General features: G+C 44.5%; 1 protein-coding gene across 4 annotated transcripts in view, besides 2 other annotated features; it reads right to left on the bottom strand.

Moving 5' to 3' along the window:
• Positions 1–20,465, bottom strand: part of DHRS4L2 (dehydrogenase/reductase 4 like 2) — a 36,535-nt gene that overhangs the window by 3,859 nt on the left and 12,211 nt on the right. The window contains exons 1-6 of one of the 4 annotated variants that reach the window (NM_198083.4): positions 13,475–13,621; positions 12,191–12,368; positions 7,417–7,518; positions 1,617–1,687; positions 1,466–1,517; positions 1,033–1,166 (exon numbers count right to left, since the gene is read on the bottom strand). In NM_198083.4, coding sequence (NP_932349.2) covers positions 1,033–1,166; positions 1,466–1,517; positions 1,617–1,687; positions 7,417–7,518; positions 12,191–12,368; positions 13,475–13,602 — 665 coding nt within the window. In that variant the 5' untranslated portion in view covers positions 13,603–13,621. Of the gene's footprint in view, positions 1–1,032; positions 1,167–1,465; positions 1,518–1,616; positions 1,688–7,416; positions 7,519–12,190; positions 12,369–13,474; positions 13,622–15,276; positions 15,395–20,465 lie in introns of those variants that run through there. The other 3 variants (NM_001193636.1, NM_001193635.1, NM_001193637.1) reach the window with 3 other exon arrangements.
• Positions 13,606–13,855: a silencer, noted in NCBI's record as "silent region_5615". NCBI's record gives its function as "represses an Ori minimal core promoter by ATAC-STARR-seq in GM12878 lymphoblastoid cells {active_cell/tissue: GM12878}" and the evidence as "EXISTENCE:reporter gene assay evidence [ECO:0000049][PMID:35858748]".
• Positions 14,026–14,085: an enhancer, noted in NCBI's record as "active region_8182". NCBI's record gives its function as "activates an Ori minimal core promoter by ATAC-STARR-seq in GM12878 lymphoblastoid cells {active_cell/tissue: GM12878}" and the evidence as "EXISTENCE:reporter gene assay evidence [ECO:0000049][PMID:35858748]".

Raw genomic sequence — 20,465 nt, 5'->3', positions numbered from 1 at the left:
TTCCTCAGGGATCTAGAACTAGAAATACCATTTGACCCAGCCATCCCATTACTGGGTATATACCCAAATGACTATAAATCATGCTGCTATAAAGACACATGCACACGTATGTTTATTGCGGCATTATTCACAATAGCAAAGACTTGGAACCAACCCAAATGTCCAACAATGATAGACTGGATTAAGAAAATGTGGCACATATACACCATGGAATACTATGCAGCCATAAAAAATGATGAGTTCATGTCCTTTGTAGGGACATGGATGAAATTGGAAACCATCATTCTCAGTAAACTATCGCAAGAACAAAAAACCAAACACCACATATTCTCACTCATAGGTGGGAATTGAACAATGAGATCACATGGACACAGGAAGGGGAATATCACACTCTGGGGACTGTGGTGGGGTCGGGGGAGTGGGGAGGGATAGCATTGGGAGATATATCTAATGCTAGATGACACGTTAGTGGGTGCAGCGCACCAGCATGGCACATGTATACATATGTAACTAACCTGCACAATGTGCACATGTACCCTAAAACTTAAAGTATAATAATAATAATAATTAAAAAAGAAAAAAAAAAAAAAAAGAAGAGGAAAGTGAAGAATGGAAAGGGAAGAAACTGCCCATCCTCATGGTAACTGAGAGGAGGGATGGGGTGAGAGACTTCCCTCTTTCACTTCCTATTTTTTTCTAGCTCCCAGCTCTCCCCACTGCCCTCATCTGTTTCATTTGTTTCAGGTTCTAGTGATGCATTTTGCTGCGTCTCTCCAATTCTCATCCATGTAAGGAGGGAGGAAACAGTGTGAGTACAGTCTGAATACCTCAGTCTCCAGCCTATACCTCAGAAAAGGTGTGATAAGAGTGTGGCTTGTATAGGGCAGGTGGTACAGAGAGGGAATATGGGAAAGTCCAGGGAAGGAGAATGGAGTGGCTGAGAGCTCAGGACTCAGGTAGTGGGCTTCCCTGTCCAAGAAGATGGATGCCTTTCAAGGGGTCCCAGTCAAATGCAAAGCTCCCCTTCCTCACCATCCTGCTGAAGCTAGTCTTGATAAGTCCAGGTGCAGGCAGTTCACCCTAATGTTCCTTGGGGCCAGCTCTATGGCCAGGGTATTGTTGAGGCCCAGCAAGGCTGTTTTACTGACATTGTAAGGACTGAAGCCCTGGAGAAAGAAGAGAATGTGTTAGACTCATAGTTTCCAGGTCATTCTTGGTTCTAATAACTAGACATAGAGGGCAGTGCTCAGTAGGGATCTCCTGTAAGGGAGGGGCAGAGTTAGGAAACTGTCTTGTGGCTAAACCTCCCCTAGGTTATGGTTTGTGGAGGCAAGGCATCTATTTTGTGGGCAGGGACTTGGTGGTGTGATTCTACAAGGGGACACAAACTTCTTTGGGTAATAGGAGGGGTGGAAAGATGTGGAGTGGAGGGTGGGATGGAAGAGGTAGACAAAAGGGTTCTTACAGGAGATGGACTGAAGGCTGCTATGGAAGACACGATCACCACTGAGCCGCCTCTGGAAAAAGAAGAGAGCTGACCGTCTTCCCAGTGTGGACCACTGCCCTCAGCCTGTGTGGGGTCCCCTCTCACCCAGGCTCTCTCTCACTCTCTGTACCCTCGTTTCTCCATTTCTGGCACCACTGCCTTTGTCATCAGGGCTGGGGCCTTCACATTAATGTCCAGAGTCTGAAGCCAAGAGAAGAAGGGGAAACAGCATGAGTGAAGAGCACTGGAGGAGGCATGAAAAAATGAGGAGTTAGAGTGGGTTCCTAGGATGTTTGTCAGAGCTGACGAAGATCTTAGGATGATATACCTGCATCTTACACATGAAGGAACTGAGGTTCAGGGAGAAGTAGCTCTCACCAGCTGCTCAGCTAGATAATGATACATTAGGTTCAGGTGAGCAAAAATGGAGCCTGGTTCATCTTGTTTCATAATCAGCCAAGTATGATTTGGGCCAGAAGGGGCCTTTGGATTTGAGCTGTGTTTTCTCTGTTTCTTCCAAGTAGGTAGAGCCTGGAATTGTCAGCCTCCTGGACCTGCCCTAGAGTAGGCCATGCTTCTCAGGGAAAATGTGGCCTGACCTTGGATATGTGGGGTTGTTCTAGCACTTCTCTGGCTTCTGGGCTTAGGGAGTGAGATGTTCTTGGCCCTCTAGGAAGGACTGTCTGGCTAGGCATGGTTAGAAAGTGGGATCATGAGGAGTCACCTTCTGGGGAAGCTGGGGGACAGGCTACAATCAGAATCCCCACATCCATAATCTAAAACAAATGTATGACCCTGTTTACACTGTTCTAGACAACTGCTTATATTAAAATATTTCAATCTTACAGAAAAATTGGAGATAGAAGTACAATGAATGTCTAGATATCCTTCACTTAGAGTCACCAATTGTTCACATTTTGTCCTATTTGTCCTCTCTGTAGATCTGTACAGTTTTTTAAATGAACCATTGAAACTCAGTTGCAAGTTTTCTGAAAGATTTTATATAATAAAATCAAAAATTACAAAGAACAAAAATAAAAAAATGTAAATTAAAAAAAAAAAAACTCAGGGCTGGGCATGGTGGCTCATGCCTGCAATCCCTGCACTTCGGGAGGCCAAGATGGGTGGATCACTTTTAGGTCAGGAGTTCGAGAACAGCCTGGGCAACATGGCAAACCTCGTCTGTACTAAAAATACAAAAATTAGCCAGACGTGGTGGCATGTGTTTGTAATCCAAGCTACTCAGGAGGATGAGACAGCAGAATAGCTTGAACCCGGGAGGTGGAGGTTGCAGTGAGCTGAGATAGCACCACTGCACTCCAGCCTGGGTAACAGAGTGAGGCTCCATCACAAAAATAAATAAATAACCTAAAATAAAATAAGTAAACTCAGTTGCAGATAGTACAATGTTCTATCCCCAAATACTTAGCATACATTTCCAAAGAGTAAGGATTTTCTTTTACACAACCATAATCTGTTATCACAACCAAGAGTTTGACAATGATGATAATTTTATCTAACATATTGGCCTCAATTATCCCCCAAATGTGTGTGTGTGTTTTTTAAAGTCCAGAGTTCAATCAAGGATCAGCCATTATGTTTGGATTTGACATACTGTGATAGTTTAAAAAATATACAAATTAAAAGAAAAGTTATAGACACATATTTTCTTATGCTTTGCAGATATTGTTTTTTTTTTTTTTTTTTTTTTTTTTTTTTACAAATTGGAGTTTCGTGGCAACCCTGCATTAATTCGAGCCATTTTTCCAATTGCATGTGCTCACTTTGTCTCTGGGTCACATTTTGGTAATTCTTGGAATATTTCAGACCTTTCCATTATTATTATATCTGTTACGGTGATCTGTGATGAGTGATCTTTCATGGTTTTATTATAATTGTTTTGGGGTACCACAAACCACACCCAGAAAAGAAGGTCAACTTAATTGAAAAATGTTGTGTGTTCTGACTGCTCTGCCCTTCTCTCATCTCTCTCCCTCTCTGTGGACCTCCATATTCCCTGAGACACATTTACATTGAAATTAGGCCAACTATTAACCCTACAATGGCTTGTAAGTGTTTAAGCAAAAGGAAGAGTCACACATCTTTCACTTTAAATCAAAAGCTAGAAACAATTAAGCTTAGTGAGGAAGGCATGTTGAAAGCTGAGGCAGGCTGAAAGTTAGACCATGTGCACCAGTTAGCCAAATTGTGAATGCAAAGGAAAAATTCTTGAAGGAAATTAAAAGTGCTACTTCTCTGAACATATAAATGATAAGAAAGCAAAAGAGGTTTATTGTTAATATGGAGAGAAAGTTCTTATGTTCTGGACAGAAGATCAAACTAGCCACAACATTCCCTTAAGCCAAAGCCTAATCAGAAAAAGGCCCTAACTTTTTAATTCTTTGAAGGCTGAGAGAAGTGAAGAAGCTCCGGAAAAGTTGGAAGCTAGCAGTGGTTGGTTCATGAGGTTTAAGAAGCCACCTCTGTAACATAAAAGTGCAAGATGAAGCAGCGAGTGCTGATGTAGAAGCTGCAGCCAGTTATCCAGAAGATCTAGCTAAGATCATTGATGAAGGTGGCTACAGCAAACAACAGATTTTCAATGTAGATGAAACAACCTTCTAGTGGAAGAAGATGCCATGTAGGGCTTTAATAGCTAGAGAGGAGAAGTCAATGCCTGGCTTCAAAACTTCAAAGGACAGGCTTATTCTCTTGTTAGGGGCTAATGCAGCCAGTGACTTTAAGTTGAAGCCAATGCTCATTTACCATTCTGAAAATTCTAGGGCTCTCAAGATTTACGCTAAATCTACTCTGCCTGTGCTCTGTAAATGGAACAACAAAGCCTGAATAACAGCACATCTGTTTATAGCATGGTTTACTGAATATTTTAAGCTCACCGTTGATGGCTACTGCTCAGAAAAAGATTCCTTTAAAACTGTTACTGCTCATTGACAATGCACCTGGTCACTCAAAAGCTCTGATGGAGATGTACAAGGAGATTAATGTTGTTTTCATGCCTGCTAACACAACATCCATTCTGCAGCCCATGGATCGGGGGTAATTCTGACTTCCAAGACTTATTATTTAAGAAATACATTTTGTAAGGCTATAGCTGCCATGGATAGTGATTCCTCTGATGGATGTTGGCAAAGTTAACTGAAAACCTTCTGTAAAGGATGCACCATTTTAGATGCCATTAAGAATATTTGTGATTCATGGGAGGAGGTCAAAATATCTAGATTTACAGGAGTCTGGAAGAAGTTGATTCCAACCCTCATGGATGACGTGGAAGGGTTCAAGACTGCATCAGAGGAAGGAACTGCAGATGTGGTGGAAATAGCAAGAGAACTAGAAGCGGAGCTGGAAGATAGGACTGAATTGCTACAATCTCACGATAAAATGTAGATGGCTGAGGAGCTGGTTCGTACGGATAAGCAAAGAAAGTGGTTTCTTGGGATGGAATCTATTTCTGGTGAAGATGCCATGAATATTGTTGAAATCACAACACGGGATTCAGAATATTATAGGTACTTAGTAGAGTAAGCAGTGGTAGAGTTTGATAGGATTGACTCCAATTTTGAAAGAAGTTCTACTGTGGGTAAATGCTATCAAACAGGATTGCATGCTACAGAGAAATCTCTTGTGAAAGGAAGAGTCAACTGATGTGGCAAACTTCACTGCTGTCTTATTTGAAAAAACTGCCACAGCCACCCCAGCCTTCAGCAACACCACCCTAAGTCAGCCACCATCAATGTTGAGGCAAGATCCTCCACCAGCAAAAAGATTACAAGTTGTAAAGGCTCAGATGATTGTCAGCATTTTTTTAGCAATAAAGTATTTTAAAATTAAGATACGTATATATATTTTAAAACATAATGCTATTGCTCAGTTAATAGACTTCCATTAGATGATCATTATAATGTAAACCTAACTTTTATATGCACTGGGAAACCAAAAAATTCATGTGACTCACTTTATTATAATATTCACTTTATTGTGTGGTGGCCTGGAACCAGACCCACAATATCTCTGAGGCGTGCCTGTACTTAGTTTAAAACTGACTTTCATATGGTCTGTATTCAGACTGTTCATGAATGATGCTCCTTTATTTTAAAGACTATCAGAATCTGGCTGTGTGTGGTGGCTCATGCCTGTAATCCCAATATTTTGGGGGGCTGAGGTGTGGGGATCAGTTGAGGCCAGGAATTTGAGACCAGCCTGAGCAACACAGTGAAACCCCATCTCAATACAAAAAATTAGCCAGGCATGATGGCACATGCCTGTAGTCCCAGGTACTTGGGAGGCTGAGGCACAAGAATCGCTTGAACCTGGGAGGCTGAGGTTGCAGTGAGCTGAGATCACACCACAGCCCTCTAGCCTCAATGACACAGCGAGGGGGAAAAAAAAAAAAAAGGAAAAAAGACAGAGCAAGAGTCTGTCTAAAAAAAGAAAGAAAGAAGCCAAACTTAAATGGTTAGCAGCAAATCTCTGGGTAGTTTTGAAGAAAAGATGGTTTAAGAAAGAGAAGTTATTTTGATGATAGTTCCTAAGAAGGAAGGTTTTGTTGTCATTGTTGTTGTTGTTGTTTTTAATATAGAGAAAAGGTCTCGCTGTGTTGCCCAGCCTTCTCTCAAACTAGCTCAAACTAGAATCAAAAACTAGCTCACTGAAGAACATTTTGGCAGTTTGGTCTTTATGTGTATGAAACACTGGTAAATAAATCATAGTATTTTGGCAACCTGATACTTTAGTGTTGAGAAATTTTGATGACACCTGATATAGTTGGTAAGTTTGTCCCCTCTAAGTCCCATGTTGAAATGTGATCACCAGTGTTCCAGGTGGGGCCTGGTGTGAGGTGTTTGGGTCATGAGGGTGGATCCCTTATGAATGGCTTGGTGCCCTCCCTGTGGCAATGAGTGAGTTCTCACTCTATTATTTCATGCCAGAACTAGTTGTTTAAAAGAGACTGGTATCTCTCTCTTGCTTCCTGTCTTGCCATGTGACACACTTGCTCCCTTTTTCCTTCTGCCATGATTGTAAGCTTCCTGAGGCCTCATCAGAAGCAGATACTGGCACCATGCTTCTTGTACAGTCTGCAGTATCGTAAGCCAAAACACACTTCTTTTCTTTATAAATTGCCCAGCTCAGGTATTCCTTTATAGCAATGCAAAACAGACTAATACAACATCAGTGTAAAACGCAGAACCATGGGAGATCATAAAAATTAGCATTTCCCAATCATGTGGGAATATTAACCTTAATAAACAAAGACAAATATTTTAATTAAAGCTTTGTAATTAAAGGGTGTGTGTGAAATATATTATGAATATAATGTAATTATACACTTTCACATAAAACCCAATATTCTACCACTTGAATTTAGACATCTGGATCTCAGATTTTCTTGACATTGCAGTTAAGAAGAAAATAACATAGGTTTTTATTTTATTTTTTTAAAGGATGTATGTTATAAAGTGGCAACTGGTCATTTCACCAGAATTAGTATTTTAAATAACTAGCAGCATTTAATATTTCCCAACTAATAAAAAATGATTAGTTTTTGTCAGCTGAAAAGAGGACAGGTGGGTGTGTAAATTAAGTGTTGTAGTTGTTGGCATATTAGCTGCCTACGTCTCTGTTGGAAATCAACAAGGCAGAAGAGCATGCCAGGGAAGAAGCCTGGGGAGGGGAGCAGTGGCTAATGAAGAGCAGATAGAAGCAGAGAGAACTAGGAGCAGCAGAAACGAATGAGAAGGGCAGAGAAAGAGCCACCCCCACCTGCCCTTTGCAAGGTGTGCTCCAGGTGTGTGGCACGTGGCAAAGAGTCCTCACATTTACACTGCCCTTGAGAAATGCATTCTAAAAGCAGATGGAGTTTGTGCTGAATGTGTCCCGAGGCCCCCTTCCGCGCTTCTTTAATCCCCTCTCACCTTGTCCCACACCTCCTCGGTGACATCCATTAGGCTTCCAAAGAAAGGGTTGACAGCAGCATTGGAGACTAGGATATCGATACCTCCATGAAGCTTCACAGCCTAGAGAGAGGGGTAAGGTCTGGACCAGGGCTGCAGTAAGTAAGGGAGGTGCATTTACCCATGTTGATAAAAACTTCCTTCTGGGCAAGGAGCTGTGGCTCATGCCTGTAATCATAGCACTTTGGGAGGCCAAGGTGGGAGGCTCACTTGAGCTGAGGAATTTGAGAGAAGCCTGGGCCATGCAGCGAGACCTTATCTTTATATTAAAAACAACAACAACAATGACAACAAAAGCTTCATTCTTAAGAACTATTGTCAAAATAACTTCTATTTCTTAAAACATCTTTTTTGAAAACTACCCTAAGATCTGCCGCTAACCATTTAAGGTTGGCTTCTTTCTTTTTTAGATGGAGTCTTGCTCTGTCATCCAGACTGGAGCACAGTGGCATGTTCTCAGCTCACTGCAGCCTTGACCTACTGGGTTCAAGCCATCCTCTTGGCTCAGCCCCCCAAGTAGTTGAGAGTAGAAGTGCGTGCCACCACACCCGGGCAATTTTTGTATTTTTTGTAGAGACAGGGTCTTGCCATGTTGCCCAGGCTGGTCTGGAACTCCTGGGCTCAAGCCATCCACCTGCCTTGGTATCCTAAAGTGTTATAGGCACAAGCCACCAGGAAGTTGGCCCTATTTCTTTTGCAGTCTTTTCTTCCCACCTCCTATTCTTCCAAGGCTGTCTCTGACGCTCTTTTCTTTACACTTTCCCTTTGGAAAGCTCCTTCATTCTCATGATTTCAAGTCTCACCCCAAAATCTATTTCCAGACCCCTCCTCTTCCTTTCACACTGAGTTCCACCCACATTTCTCCAAGTGCTTACTGTCCAGTTCTCCCTGAATAAGTTACCATTATCTCAAAGTCAATCTGTCCACACTTACCTGAATGGAAAAACTGGCTTAAATAGAGCTGAAGAAAGTTACCCTGGAGGGGCCTTTGAGATCATCTATTCCAGTGTCCTTAAGGTGGAGATGATGAAACAGGTTCAGAGAATTTTCTCAAGATCTTATACTTCAGTAGTGGCACACTGGGGCTAGCTAAGAACAGGAGGCCTGCTTATTCTGTGTTTGGGAGGGGTGAAGTGATTTTTTCAGGGCACAAAGCTAGTCAGTAGTGGAAGAAGTGAGGTCAGTCTCCCACTTTGTAGCACAGAGCTAATTCATAAGAGACCTCTGAAAGTGAGTTGGGGTCATTAGTAAACCAGCTGCCCAGGAGAGCCATGATGGGAGAAGATACCAGCCTGAATTTAAAGCAATTCCATATTTGGTTATGATGTCATTTTCCCTGTCTCTGTCTCTCTCTTTTGACCTGGAGGCATGAAAGATTCAAGGCAGAAACTGAAATTTAAATTGAGAAAGCGAAGAAAGGCAACATCTCACCTCCTTAATAAGTTATAAGTAGATAGTGAGGCGTGTGCTAGAGTAATGAATGGCCAAGCAGAATCTGCCAACAAGGGTTTTCAGTACAAAGCCACCCTGAAACTAGACTTTGCATTTGCCCGGAACTGGCAATTTTGATGCCTTGGGCAAGTTGCAGTATGTGGGCCCTTGGTCAACTTTGTGCTCTGGATTTGGCACAGAGAGGGGTGTTACTAACAATGTACACCATCTGCTAGCTTCCCGTTTTAACTAATTATTCTTGTTAACTAGGTGCTAAGCTCAGTTGTTTCTAGACAGTGGAAGGAATGCTGGGTTTGTCAACGTGTTAATCTAACAAAATTTACAGTCACATAATCTTTTAAAATCGGTATTAATACTTTCTTGCACCCTTTAAATTTTGGCATCCTGGCACAAAGCCAAGTCACCTGGGTTGGCTCTGTGTAAGTCTCACCAATGGACTTGTTACTAGGGAGGTGCAGAGTAAGTTAATAAGTGATGTGCACTGTGCTCAGTACACATGTGTTTGGGCTGGGAGGAGACAATGGATTGCTCTAGAATCACCTGGAGACATTTTCTACTCTGCTGTATACCCCATACTCCTCTCCTTCCAGGTCTGTCAGCACAGAGATGGGAGGAGGCTGGGTTTTGATTGAACAGAGACAGCAAACCATAAAAGATGAATGAGGCTGGGTGTGGTGGCTCACACCTATAATCCTAGCACTTTGGTAGGCCCAGTGGGGAGGACCACTTGAGGCCAGGAGTTCAAAACAGCCTGGGAAATACAGCCCCAACTCTACAAAAAATTTAAAAAATGAACTGGTGTGGTGGTGCATGCCTATAGTTTTAGCCACTTGGGAGGCTGAGGTGGGAGGATTGCTTGAGTTCAGGACTTCGAGGTTACAGTGAGCTATGATCATGTCACTGCACTGCAGCCTGGGCAACAGAATGAGGCACTGTCTCTGGAAAAAAATAAAAGAAAGTCTTCTAAGTCTTATTCTAAATTGTGTGATCACTACACTAAAGCGGTTAGGAGCTGTTTGTTCTGTGTTCTGATAGTTATACATTTTTAAGAAAAAATATAATCAAGCAGATAGGCAGCTACTCTGGTTTCCACTTACAACACCAGTGAGAAGCTTCGTGGTGTGCAGATGAGGAGGCCACTGGGTAGTATCCATTCTCAGGGCAGTGGCTTTTCTTATTGCAGGGTAACATGTGGCAACTGGCAGAAGACATTTCAAATTGCTGACAAGTATTCTATCATTCTCTTCTCTGACAATGGTCATACAAACTACCTGAGAGTCATTTTTGACTTCTCTATTTCCCACTTTTTGACATGGGGTTGGAAAATCTTGGTTCGTTTCCACTAAATGTCTCTTGGGCACATCTATTCCAGTCCCGCCGCCACTGCTCTAAACCTGGACGACAGCAACAGCTTCCTCACTGATGCCCTGGATTCGGTGTCTCCTCTGTATATCCTTCCTACCAGAGCCAGATTAGCTTTCCTAATAACCATCTTTCTCTTGCTCAAAACCTCACATGGCTTCTTATTTGCTGCAAGAATGTGTAAACATATCCTTTTAAGAGGCCATATCCTTTTAAGGTCCTTAACGTATCCTTTTAAGAAGCTATGGCCGGGCACAGTGGCTCACGCCTGTAATCCCAGCACTTTGAGAGGCCGAGGGGGTGGATCACCTGAGGTCAGGAGTTCAAGACCAGCCTGGCCAACATGGTGAAACCCCGTCTCTACTAAAAATACAAAAATTAGCTGGACGTGGTGGTGGATGCCTGTAATCCTAGCTACTCGGGAGGCTGAGGCATGAGAATTGCTTGAACCTGGAGGCGTAGGTTGCAGTGAGCTGAGATTGTGCCATATCACTTCAGCCTGGGCAACAAGAATGAAACTCTGTCTCAAAAAAAAAAAAAAAAGATATGGAGGCCCATGGCCTCTATCTTTCCAATGCAGCCCCTTCCCCAGCAGTACTCCTGAGCCTGTGCTCTCCACTGTGGACTGACAGTGCTCCTCTCTTTCCTTCAGTTCCTCCTTGGCTGTCTGCTCATTTTGCAGAGTTATCTGGAACCTCGTCACTATTCCATCTGTCCATTCCCATCCATTCCTTAAGGTTTAGCTCAAGTACCACTTCTGGGCCAGGCCTGTAGGCCATGTTAAGTGAACCTGGTGGGGGGCACAGGTTGTTTTTCTAGGAGGATTTTCACATTACATTGCTACTTACATGTCGTATGGTTAGTGCTAATTGATCCAGACTCCCAAACGGCTCCTTCCACCATCAGGATCAAGGCCCCAATCTTGGGCTTTGTCGACCAGTCTAAGCCAAGCTTTTTTGGACTCACATTTGTGACTTTCTTGGACTCATATTTGGCTCTTTCCAATGCACATTTGAGTGTCTGCCAGACTGTTCCTTAAAAATGGAATTACCCTATTCTGTCTACTATTGCTTAAGATCCTCCTCTTCTAAGAAGATTATGCAAATTATTTCTGCCAACCTTCCAATCTGTTAGCAGAATCCTGTACTTTCCATTTTTGGGTAGATTCTCCCTTCCACTCTGGGAAATAAAGTGTGTGCCCTGAGCCTCAAGGGAAGAGGAGCTTCCTTTGTGAATGCTTCATAGTTGCTTCAGCAGCTGCAAGGCTGTTGTCCACTACTAATTATGACATTGACTTATGTACTTTCTTTGAGACTGAAGTCCAGTACCTGGTAGTCCACAGGCAGCCAATAAAGGAAGGGAGCTTGGGAGGTCTGGGTCTTTCCTTACTGGCTGTGGGACCTTGGGAAGTTGCTCCAGCTATCTGAGCCAGGGTCTGCAGACTGAGAGAATAGTCCTTGCCTTGCTTGGGTTGTTGTCAGGTCTAGAGATAACCTGTGTAAGGCTCTGAACACAGGAAATGGCACATAGTAAGTGGCTGAAACATGGTGGGCTGCTTCCTGAGGTTCCCAGGGACTTGACTCTATAAGCTGAAGAAGAGGGGAATGTTTATTAGCTCATGGGTGGGAACATCTATTTTGTGATTGTATTTACCCTTCACATCTGTTCAATTAGATTGAAAATTACTGCAGAACCAGTACCAGCTGTTTCTTTGGGGTACTCAAGGGATGATGCAGGGTTGAAGCATTAGAATGTTTTAAAATTCTCTGACTGAGATGGGATGATTCTCTGACGTTAGTATATGGACATAATAGAAAGGCACACAGTAAAAATGTGCTGCTGTCTAGGAAAGCAGGGAAGGAGGCTCAGGCTGGCTTCCTTTTCCACCTCCTGGCTCTGTGCCCATTTCCCTGCAGCTCACCATGGCCACCAGCCGCTCCCGGTCCTCCGCCTTCCCCACATGGCACACAGTGCCCGTCACGCTCAGCCCCTCCCCCTGCAGCGTGGCCACCGCCTGGTCCACATTCTGCTGCTTCCGGCTGCTGACGACCACGTGGGCCCTGTCCTGGGCCAAACGCCGGGCGATGGCGAAGCCGATCCTGTGAGCAGAAAGAGACAAAGACTGCTAAGGCCTGTGCAGGGGAAGAGGTCGACAGCATGGGCTCTGAAGTTAAGACTGCCCGGGTTTGAATTCTGGCTCTTTCTCTATATAACTCCTACGTGTGCCTACTATGTGTAAAACAGGCTTAATGGCATGGCCATTTTTAGCACTGCTTTACTTATTTTTATTATGACCTGGATCACAGCCTTAGTTCCCAAGAACTGACATCACTTTCTACAGTTCCCACCACGGGTGACAGGCTTCATCTCCTGTTGGGACTGAGAGGTGAGAAATGAGCTGGGTGTGCAGCAGCAGCCACTTCCGTGATTTGAAGGTCTCACTCAGAACAGTCCTGCCGCCAGGTTTCTTTCTTACTAGTCTACATCATTCTCAAAATTCTTTCCATAATTATTTTTTGGGGTGCATGTGAAAAGATGGTCTCTGGTCAAAAACGTAAATATTGCCTTGGGAAGAAGAGTTACACATTCTGCAGTTGTCAGCCATTAGCATTTTATCTACATTTGTATTTTAGTTTTGTGAAGAGCTGGCATCTAGCAAAGTCCTGTAGAAATGAGAACCAGGACTGACAAGAGAGGTGGGTGAGAAACAGGCTGGGCAAGGTAGGCCCAGATGTACCGACCTAAAAAAAAGTCTCGACACATGGCTCTGGTGTCCCATCTAGGTAAGGGGGAGGGGTTCCGGGACACTTTCTGGAGCCCAAATAGAATGGTACATTTTCAAAAAGCTGGAGGCCTTGTTATAAGATTTTGAATCCAGATTCCCTTGCATTTCCAGTTTCTGGTCTTCCCAGAGGCTAGGTAAGGCTGGTTGACTGGGGCAGCCCAGAACACTGGGGGGACTAGATCGATGGGGCTGCACAGAGGTGGCACAGTTGTGCCAGAGGCAGCAGGGACAGAAGGGCTGGCAAGGGAGGGCCAGGGTATTCGGAGGGGCTTCAGGCGGACCACGTGGCTACTTTTTTTCCATGGCCAGACTTTGGCGGTATGTGAGGTCTGAGGACAGGGGCACTGGAGGCAAAGGACGAGACACCAGTGCATGTTTCCAGGCAGCCAGGGCCTCAGAAACTCCGGCACCAACACTCACCCGTCGGTGGAGGCCGTTACCAGGGCCACCTTATTTGTGAGCGGGTCCCGGCGGGTCATCCTGGAGCTGGCCATCCGCACCGACTTCCGTGCCCAGGCACAGAGGCCTAGCAGCCTGGCCATCTGCATGGATCAGACCAGCAAGTCTGGGTTCCACTCCTTCCAGCGGAGGTGACAGAGTAGGGCGAAGGGGCAGGACGAAGGGCGGGCCGCTTCCCTGCCTGCCCCCTTCCCGCCCTCGGCCAGCTGGGAGTCGTCTGTGGCGGTTGGCGCCTCCCGCCGCCCGCCAGTCGCCCCGCCCCGCAGCCAGCTACCTTCCGCCTGACTGGGGCTTGCCTTCCCGGGCTGGTGAGTGATCAAAGCGCTCTCCGTTCAAGTTGCCTGTAGGGCTCGCCCCTCCCCTGGCCCCCGCAGGAACCCGCAGACTTTGGCTGCTGCCCTTCTGCATCTGCTTGTCCACGTTTTCTTCTTGGGGAAGTGGGGGTTTTGAGTTGGTTGCTTTTGCTTCTTCAGAATTCCTTCTCCAAGAAAGTCTGGGTCTATGTATGTGACAGCCCACAGGAGGGCAAATGTTTTGAGACTGCCCATGGAGGTGAGGCCTGTGGTCCCCATGGAGTCCACCAGGTGAGGCTGGAGCAGCCTGGGAGAGAGACGTGATAGGCAGTAGCTGCGCCAGGCCTGGCACTGCCCTTCACTCTGCCCAAGGTCTCTTCCATCTTCACGGGCCCTTGGAGGGCAGACTACGGTCATTGGCAAAACAGGATCTCATATCCCTCGCCAAAGGGACTTCCTCCTTTACAGGGGCTAAGTGGTAGCGAGGAGGCTGGACAGTCCCTCAAGCAGTGGTGGAAATGCAAAGAACTCGGGGCACTCAAGTTCTCCCTAACCACTCTGTCCCCAGGTCTTAGCCTCCATCCTAGTTCAATAAATATTTGTTGAATGCAAAATCTCTTTATGAACTGTAAGCTACTAAGCACATAGTAGTTACTGCCACCATGTAGTGATTATTATTGGTGCCCTGGGCCAGACTCTTCATCTGTAAATTACTGAGGGTATGGATGATGAATAAAGTCCTTGCCAGCTATAAATTCTGTGTCCAAGACTTCAGTCTCCACTTCTGCCAAGTGGGCTGAAATGATCTCCCTCCTGGGTTTCCGGGAGAATGAATAAATATGGATGGCTTATGGTACAGTGTAGAAAGGCCGCAACAGACCCAAAGGTAAGTATCTGAATTAGTTTAACCCACTGGCCTCCAAAGCCAGACTGAGAAGCAGTGCTGGTTCATGGCAGCGTTTTCACTAGTTCAAAGCAAAATGAGAAAAGGAAACAATTACAGTGAGTTTCATAAAGCTAAGCTTATTTAACAGTCCTTTATTGTGGAGTATACCTTTCCTTCTTTTTGTGTGTGTGTGTGTTAGTGTTTTGTTTCAGAAAAGATGATGAAAGCAGATGGGTAGGTTTAGAGATGTGTTATTGGTGAAATCACCAGTTTGGCAGCCTTATGCCAGTCCCTACAATTAGAGGGGAAAGAATCCTGGTTTGTGAAATCCAGTTCTAGGCATGACTTTTGAATAGAATTCATGTTTGCTCAAGATTCATTTAGTATATGTGCAGGTCAGCTGAGCAGCTGAAAAAGGATTTGGACATTCAGCTGGGCGTGGTGGCTCACCCTGTAATCCCAGCACTTTGGGAGGCCGAGGCGGGCGGATCACGGGGTCAGGAGATCAAGTCCATCCTGGCTAACACGGTGAAACTCGTCCCTACTAAAAATACAAAAAATTAGCCGGGCGTGGTGGTACTTGCCTGTAGTCCCAGCTACTCGGGAGGCTGAGGCAGGGGAATGGCATGAACACGGGATGCGGAGCTTGCAGTGAGCCAAGATCACGCCACTGCACTCCAACCTGAGCGACAGATGGAGACTCTGTCTCAACAAAAAGAAAAAAAACAAGGATTTCAACATTCAAAAGGGGGTGTATGGCGAGCAAGTAATAGAACAGGCCTGCACTGGATTTCTAGTGTTTTCCTCAGCCAAGAAGTTACAGCTGCAGCACTCTGCTTTGCTACTCAGCACATCCCGATGAGACAGGAGAGCTGCAGTATAATTTTCCCCATGTCCAGGCAAAGCTGACTCTGACTGGTGCTCCTCAGTCTGAGCCTCATGAATTATTGACAGAGGCTGGAAGCGCCACACTCCTTGTGCTCTTGCACTGTTTGGAGCTCATGCACTGTGGGAACCCTTCCCAGGGCTCTCCATCTGTGTGGGGCTGGGGGGAGGGTACACAGGAGGACTGCTGCGGGGGTTCTCAGGGCTTGGTTCAAAGGGACAAGCCTCCAGGGGGGTATTTGATCTCTCTTCCTCTTCTCTTCAGAGGTAGACGGGCCCACTGAGGGGCTGAGGGTTCCAGGAAAGTGAGGAAGACCACACTTCAAAGAGCAAAGGATTCTGGGAAAAGAGAATTGTGGCTTGGGAGCTTGGTGAACAACACATGGCCCTTCCTTGTGTGGGCAGGGTTGCTATTTGGCCTCCAGCACTATTTCTTTTTCTTTCTTTCTTTCTTTTTTTTTTTTTATTATACTTTAAGTTCTAGGGTGCACGTGTACAACGTGCAGGTTTTTTACATATGTACACATGTGCCATGTTGGTGTGCTGCACCCGTTAACTCATCATTTACATTCGGTATTCCTCCTAATGCTATCCCTTCCCCATGCCTGCACCCCACGACAGGCCCCAGTGTGTGATGTTCCCCACCCTGTGTCCAAGTGTTCTCATTGTTCAATTCCCACCTATGAGTGAGAACATGCAGTGTTCTCACAGGGGGCCTGTGAGCAGAAAAGGATAGAAGGAAGTCAAGAAGTATGGGAATCTCTAGCGCTACTCCTCATCAAGCTGGCTTATTGGAGATAAGAACAGGAAATCTTGGGGTGGGCATGGTGGCTCATGCCTGTAATCCCAGCACTTTAGGAGGCTGAGGTGGGCAGATCACTTGAGGTCAGGAGTTTGAGACCAGCTGGCTGAGATGATGAAACCTCGTCTCTACTGAAAATAAAAAAATGAGCCGGGTGTGGTCTGGAGTTTGAGACAAGCCTGGCTAACATGGTGAAATCCTGTCTTTACTAAAAATACAAAAATTAGCTGGGCATGGTCAAGAGTTCAAGACCAGCCTGACCAACATGGTGAAACCCTGTCTCTACTAAAAATACATGCCTGGTGGCATGTGCCTGTAATCCCAGCTACTCAGGAGGCTGAGGCAGGAGAATTGCTTGAACCTGGGAGGCAGAGGTTGCAGTGAGCTGAGATCATGCCACTGCACTCCAGCCTGGGCAACAGAAGGAGCGACTCCATCTCAAAAAAATAAAAAAAGAAGAGGAACAAGAAACCTTTCAGGGAAATACATACATATGTGGGAGTATCTCTCTGAAATGGGAACTGTAATAGGCAATGGGATTGTTCTTGTATGGAGGTGGTAACATCTGCCTATCTTGAGGGACAAATGCCTCCATGATTGAGGGCTCTACTCTCATCCTTTTCAAGGGCTGCCTGCGGTCCAGAAGAGAATTCATCTGGGATGGATTTTAAGTCTTGCATTTTGCAATAGCTGTCCCAGATTCACTGTTGAGTCATGCATCACTGACACAAGTCAGGATTAGGCTATGTGGAAGGGCTGGTGTGGGATTAGGACAACTGCCAAGCAGAGAAATAATAGTAAGAGTGTTAACAGCATTTATTGAGCACTTCCTTAGTAAGTGCTGGCAAGTGTTAAGTGCTTTTTAGAAATTTTATTGAATATTTTTAATCTGGTGAAATGGGTGTTTTAATGTAGGGAGCCAAAGGCCTGAGGGTCGTGACCAACTCAGCATTCCACTGAAGGCTATATGATCAAACAGCCAACTGTTTATCATGATTGCAAAATGTGGGCAAACTCGCTTCTGCACCTGCCACCAGGAGGTTTGCTGAGGGCAATTACTCCCTGGTGCTGTGCTCCTTGAGGTTATCTACTGGAACCTCTGGAGACTACTGTTCAAAGAATGCAGTCATACAAGCCTACACTAAGTCAAGCAGCTTACTGACAACCACCCCTTTCTCCCTATCTCCTTTACTCAGTAAATACGAAGGGGTATAGAAGCTCAGGGCCCTTGTTCCCTAGAAGAAATGAGCCCCCTGACCCCTTCTTCCATATGTACTCATTTGTCTTTATTACCATGTTAATCTTCTTTTGTTCAGTCCACCAAGGACTGTGGCATTTTAAATTCTTTTTTTTTTTTTTTTTTTTGAGATGGCATCTTGCTCTGTCATCAGGCTGGAGTGCAGTGGCACAATCTTGGCTCACTGCAACCTCTGCCTCCCGGGTTCAAGCGATTCTCCTGCCTCAGCCTCCCGAGTAGCTGGGACTACAGTACCTGGTGAGCTAGCACAACACCTCGCTCAGCTAATTTTTGTATTTTTAGTAGAGATGGGGTTTCACCATGTTGGCCAGGATGGTTTCCATCTCTTGACCTAGTGATCTTCCTGCCTTGGCCTCCAAAAGTGCTGGGATTACAGGCATGAGCCACTGCGCCCGGTCGGGTGTTTTAAATTCTATATGTGAAAGTCGAGTGAGTGATGACAACCTCAACCACTGTCTGTGTTGTATAGCTACACTTCATTTTGATGACATTGTTGGGGGATTGATACTTTTCATAGAAATCAATTTTCTCTGAATTGGAATTTTAACTTTCAGGATCAGTGTGTTTTTCAAATCAACACATCTGTTCATTAAATTATAAAAATAAAACATGCTTATTATTTTAAAAAGGGAAAGAAAGTTATGTGAAAAGTAAAAGGTAACTCTTCCCTATGGTTCTTTTACCTTCTTCCCATACAGCTCTTGGCTTTGTGTATCTTTCCAGAAGTTTCCTATACATTTACATGCATTTTTCTTTTAAAAATTGTTTCCACAAATGAGATTACACTGCACATACTGCCCTTCAAATTGCATTTCTTTTCTTTCTTCTATGCTCCAACTCTTTTTAATTTCTTTTTTTTACATTTTTTCTTTTTTTAAATTATTATACTTTAAGTTCTGAGATACATGTGCAGAACTTGCAGGTTTGTTATATAGGTATAAACGTGCCATGGTGGTTTACCGCACCCATCAACACGTCATCTATATTAAGTATTTCTCCTAATGCTATCCCTTCCCCAGCCCCCTATAAACCCAACAGGCCCTGGTGTGTGATGTTCCCCTCCCTGTGTCCATGTGTTCTCATTGTTCCACTCCCACTTATGAGTGAGAACATGTGGTGTTTGGTTTTCTGTTTTTGTGTTAGTTTGCTGAGAATGATGGTTTCCAGCTTCATCCATGTCCCTGCAAAGGACATGAACTCATCTTTTTTTATGGCTGCATAGTATTCCATGGTGTATATGTGCCCCATTTTCTTTATGCAGTCTATCATTGATGGGCATTTGGGTTGGTTCCAAGTCTTTGCTACTGTGAACAGTGCTGCAATAAGCATATGTGTGCATGTGTCTTTATAGTAGAATGATTTATAATCCTTTGGATATATACCCAGTAATGGGATTGCTGGGTCAAATGGTGTTTCAGGTTATAGGTCTTTGAGGAATGGTCACACTGTCTTCCACAACGGTTGAACTAATTTACACTACCACCAACAGTGTAAAAGTGTTCCTATTTCTCCACATCCTCTCCAGCATCTGTTGTTTCCTGACATTTTAATGATTGCCATTCTAACTGGTGTGGGATGGTATCTCATTGTGGTTTTGATTTGCATGTCTCTAATGAGCAGTGATGATGAACTTTTTTTCATGTTTGTTGGCTGCATAAATGTTTTCTTTTGAGAAGTGTCTGTTCACATCCTTAGCCCACTTTTTGATGGGGTTGTTTGTGTTTTTCCTTGTAAATTTGTTTAAGTTCTTTGTAGATTTTGGATATTAGCCCCTTGTCAGATGGATAGATTGCAAGAATTTTCTTCCATTCTGTGGGTTGCCTGTTCACTCTGACGATAGTCTCTTCTGCTGTGCTGAAGCTCTTTAGTTTAATCAGGTCCAATTTGTCTATTTGGACTTCGTTGCCATTGCTTTTGGTGTTTTAGTTATGAAGTCTTTGCCCATACCCGTGTCCTGAATGGTATGGCCTAGGTTTTCTTCTAGGGTTTTTATGGTTTTAGGTCTTATAATTAAGTCTTTAATCCATCTTAATTAAACCCAACTTAATTTAATACAACATAATAAAATTGAGTTAATTTTTGTATAAGGTGTAAGGAAGGGGTCCAGTTTCAGTTTTTTTGTATAAGGTGTAAGGAAGGGGTCCAGTTTCAGTTTTCTGCCTACGGCTAGCCAGCTTTCCCAACATCATTTATAAAATAGGGAATCCTTTCCCCATTGCTTGTTTTTGTCAGGTTTGTCAAAAATCTGATGGTTGTAGGTGTGTGGTGTTATTTATGCAGCCTCTGTTCCATTCCATTGGTCTAGATATCTGTTTGGTACTATTACCATGCTGTCTTGGTTACTGTAGCCTTGCAGTAGTTTGAAGTCAGGTAGCGTGATGCCTCCAGCTGTGTTCTTTTTGCTTTGGATTGTCTTGGCTATATGTAGGGAAAAGAAAGAGAGATCAGACTGTTACTGTGTCTATGTAGAAAAGGAAGACATAAGAAACTCCATTTTGACCTGTACCCTGAACAATTGCTTTGCCCTGAGATGCTGTTAATCTGTAACTTTAGCCCCGACCTTGAGCTCACAGAAACATGTGTTTTATGGAACCAAGGTTTAAGGGATCTAGGGCTGTGCAGGATGTGCCTTGTTAACAAAATGTTTACAGGCAGTATGCTTGGTAAAAGTCATCACCATTCTTCAGTCTCAATAAATCAGGGGCACAATGCACTGCGGAAAGCCGCAGGGACCTCTGCCCTGCAACGCTGGTTACTGTCCAAGGTTTCTCCCCATGTGATAGTCTGAAATATGGCCACGTGGGATGGGAGAGCCCTGACCGTCCCCC

This window comes from Homo sapiens, chromosome 14 (genome assembly GCF_000001405.40).
Source record: "Homo sapiens chromosome 14, GRCh38.p14 Primary Assembly".
NCBI lineage: Eukaryota > Metazoa > Chordata > Mammalia > Primates > Hominidae > Homo > Homo sapiens.
Note: the sequence above shows the minus strand (reverse complement) of the source record. Positions and strands in the feature narration are given on the sequence as shown.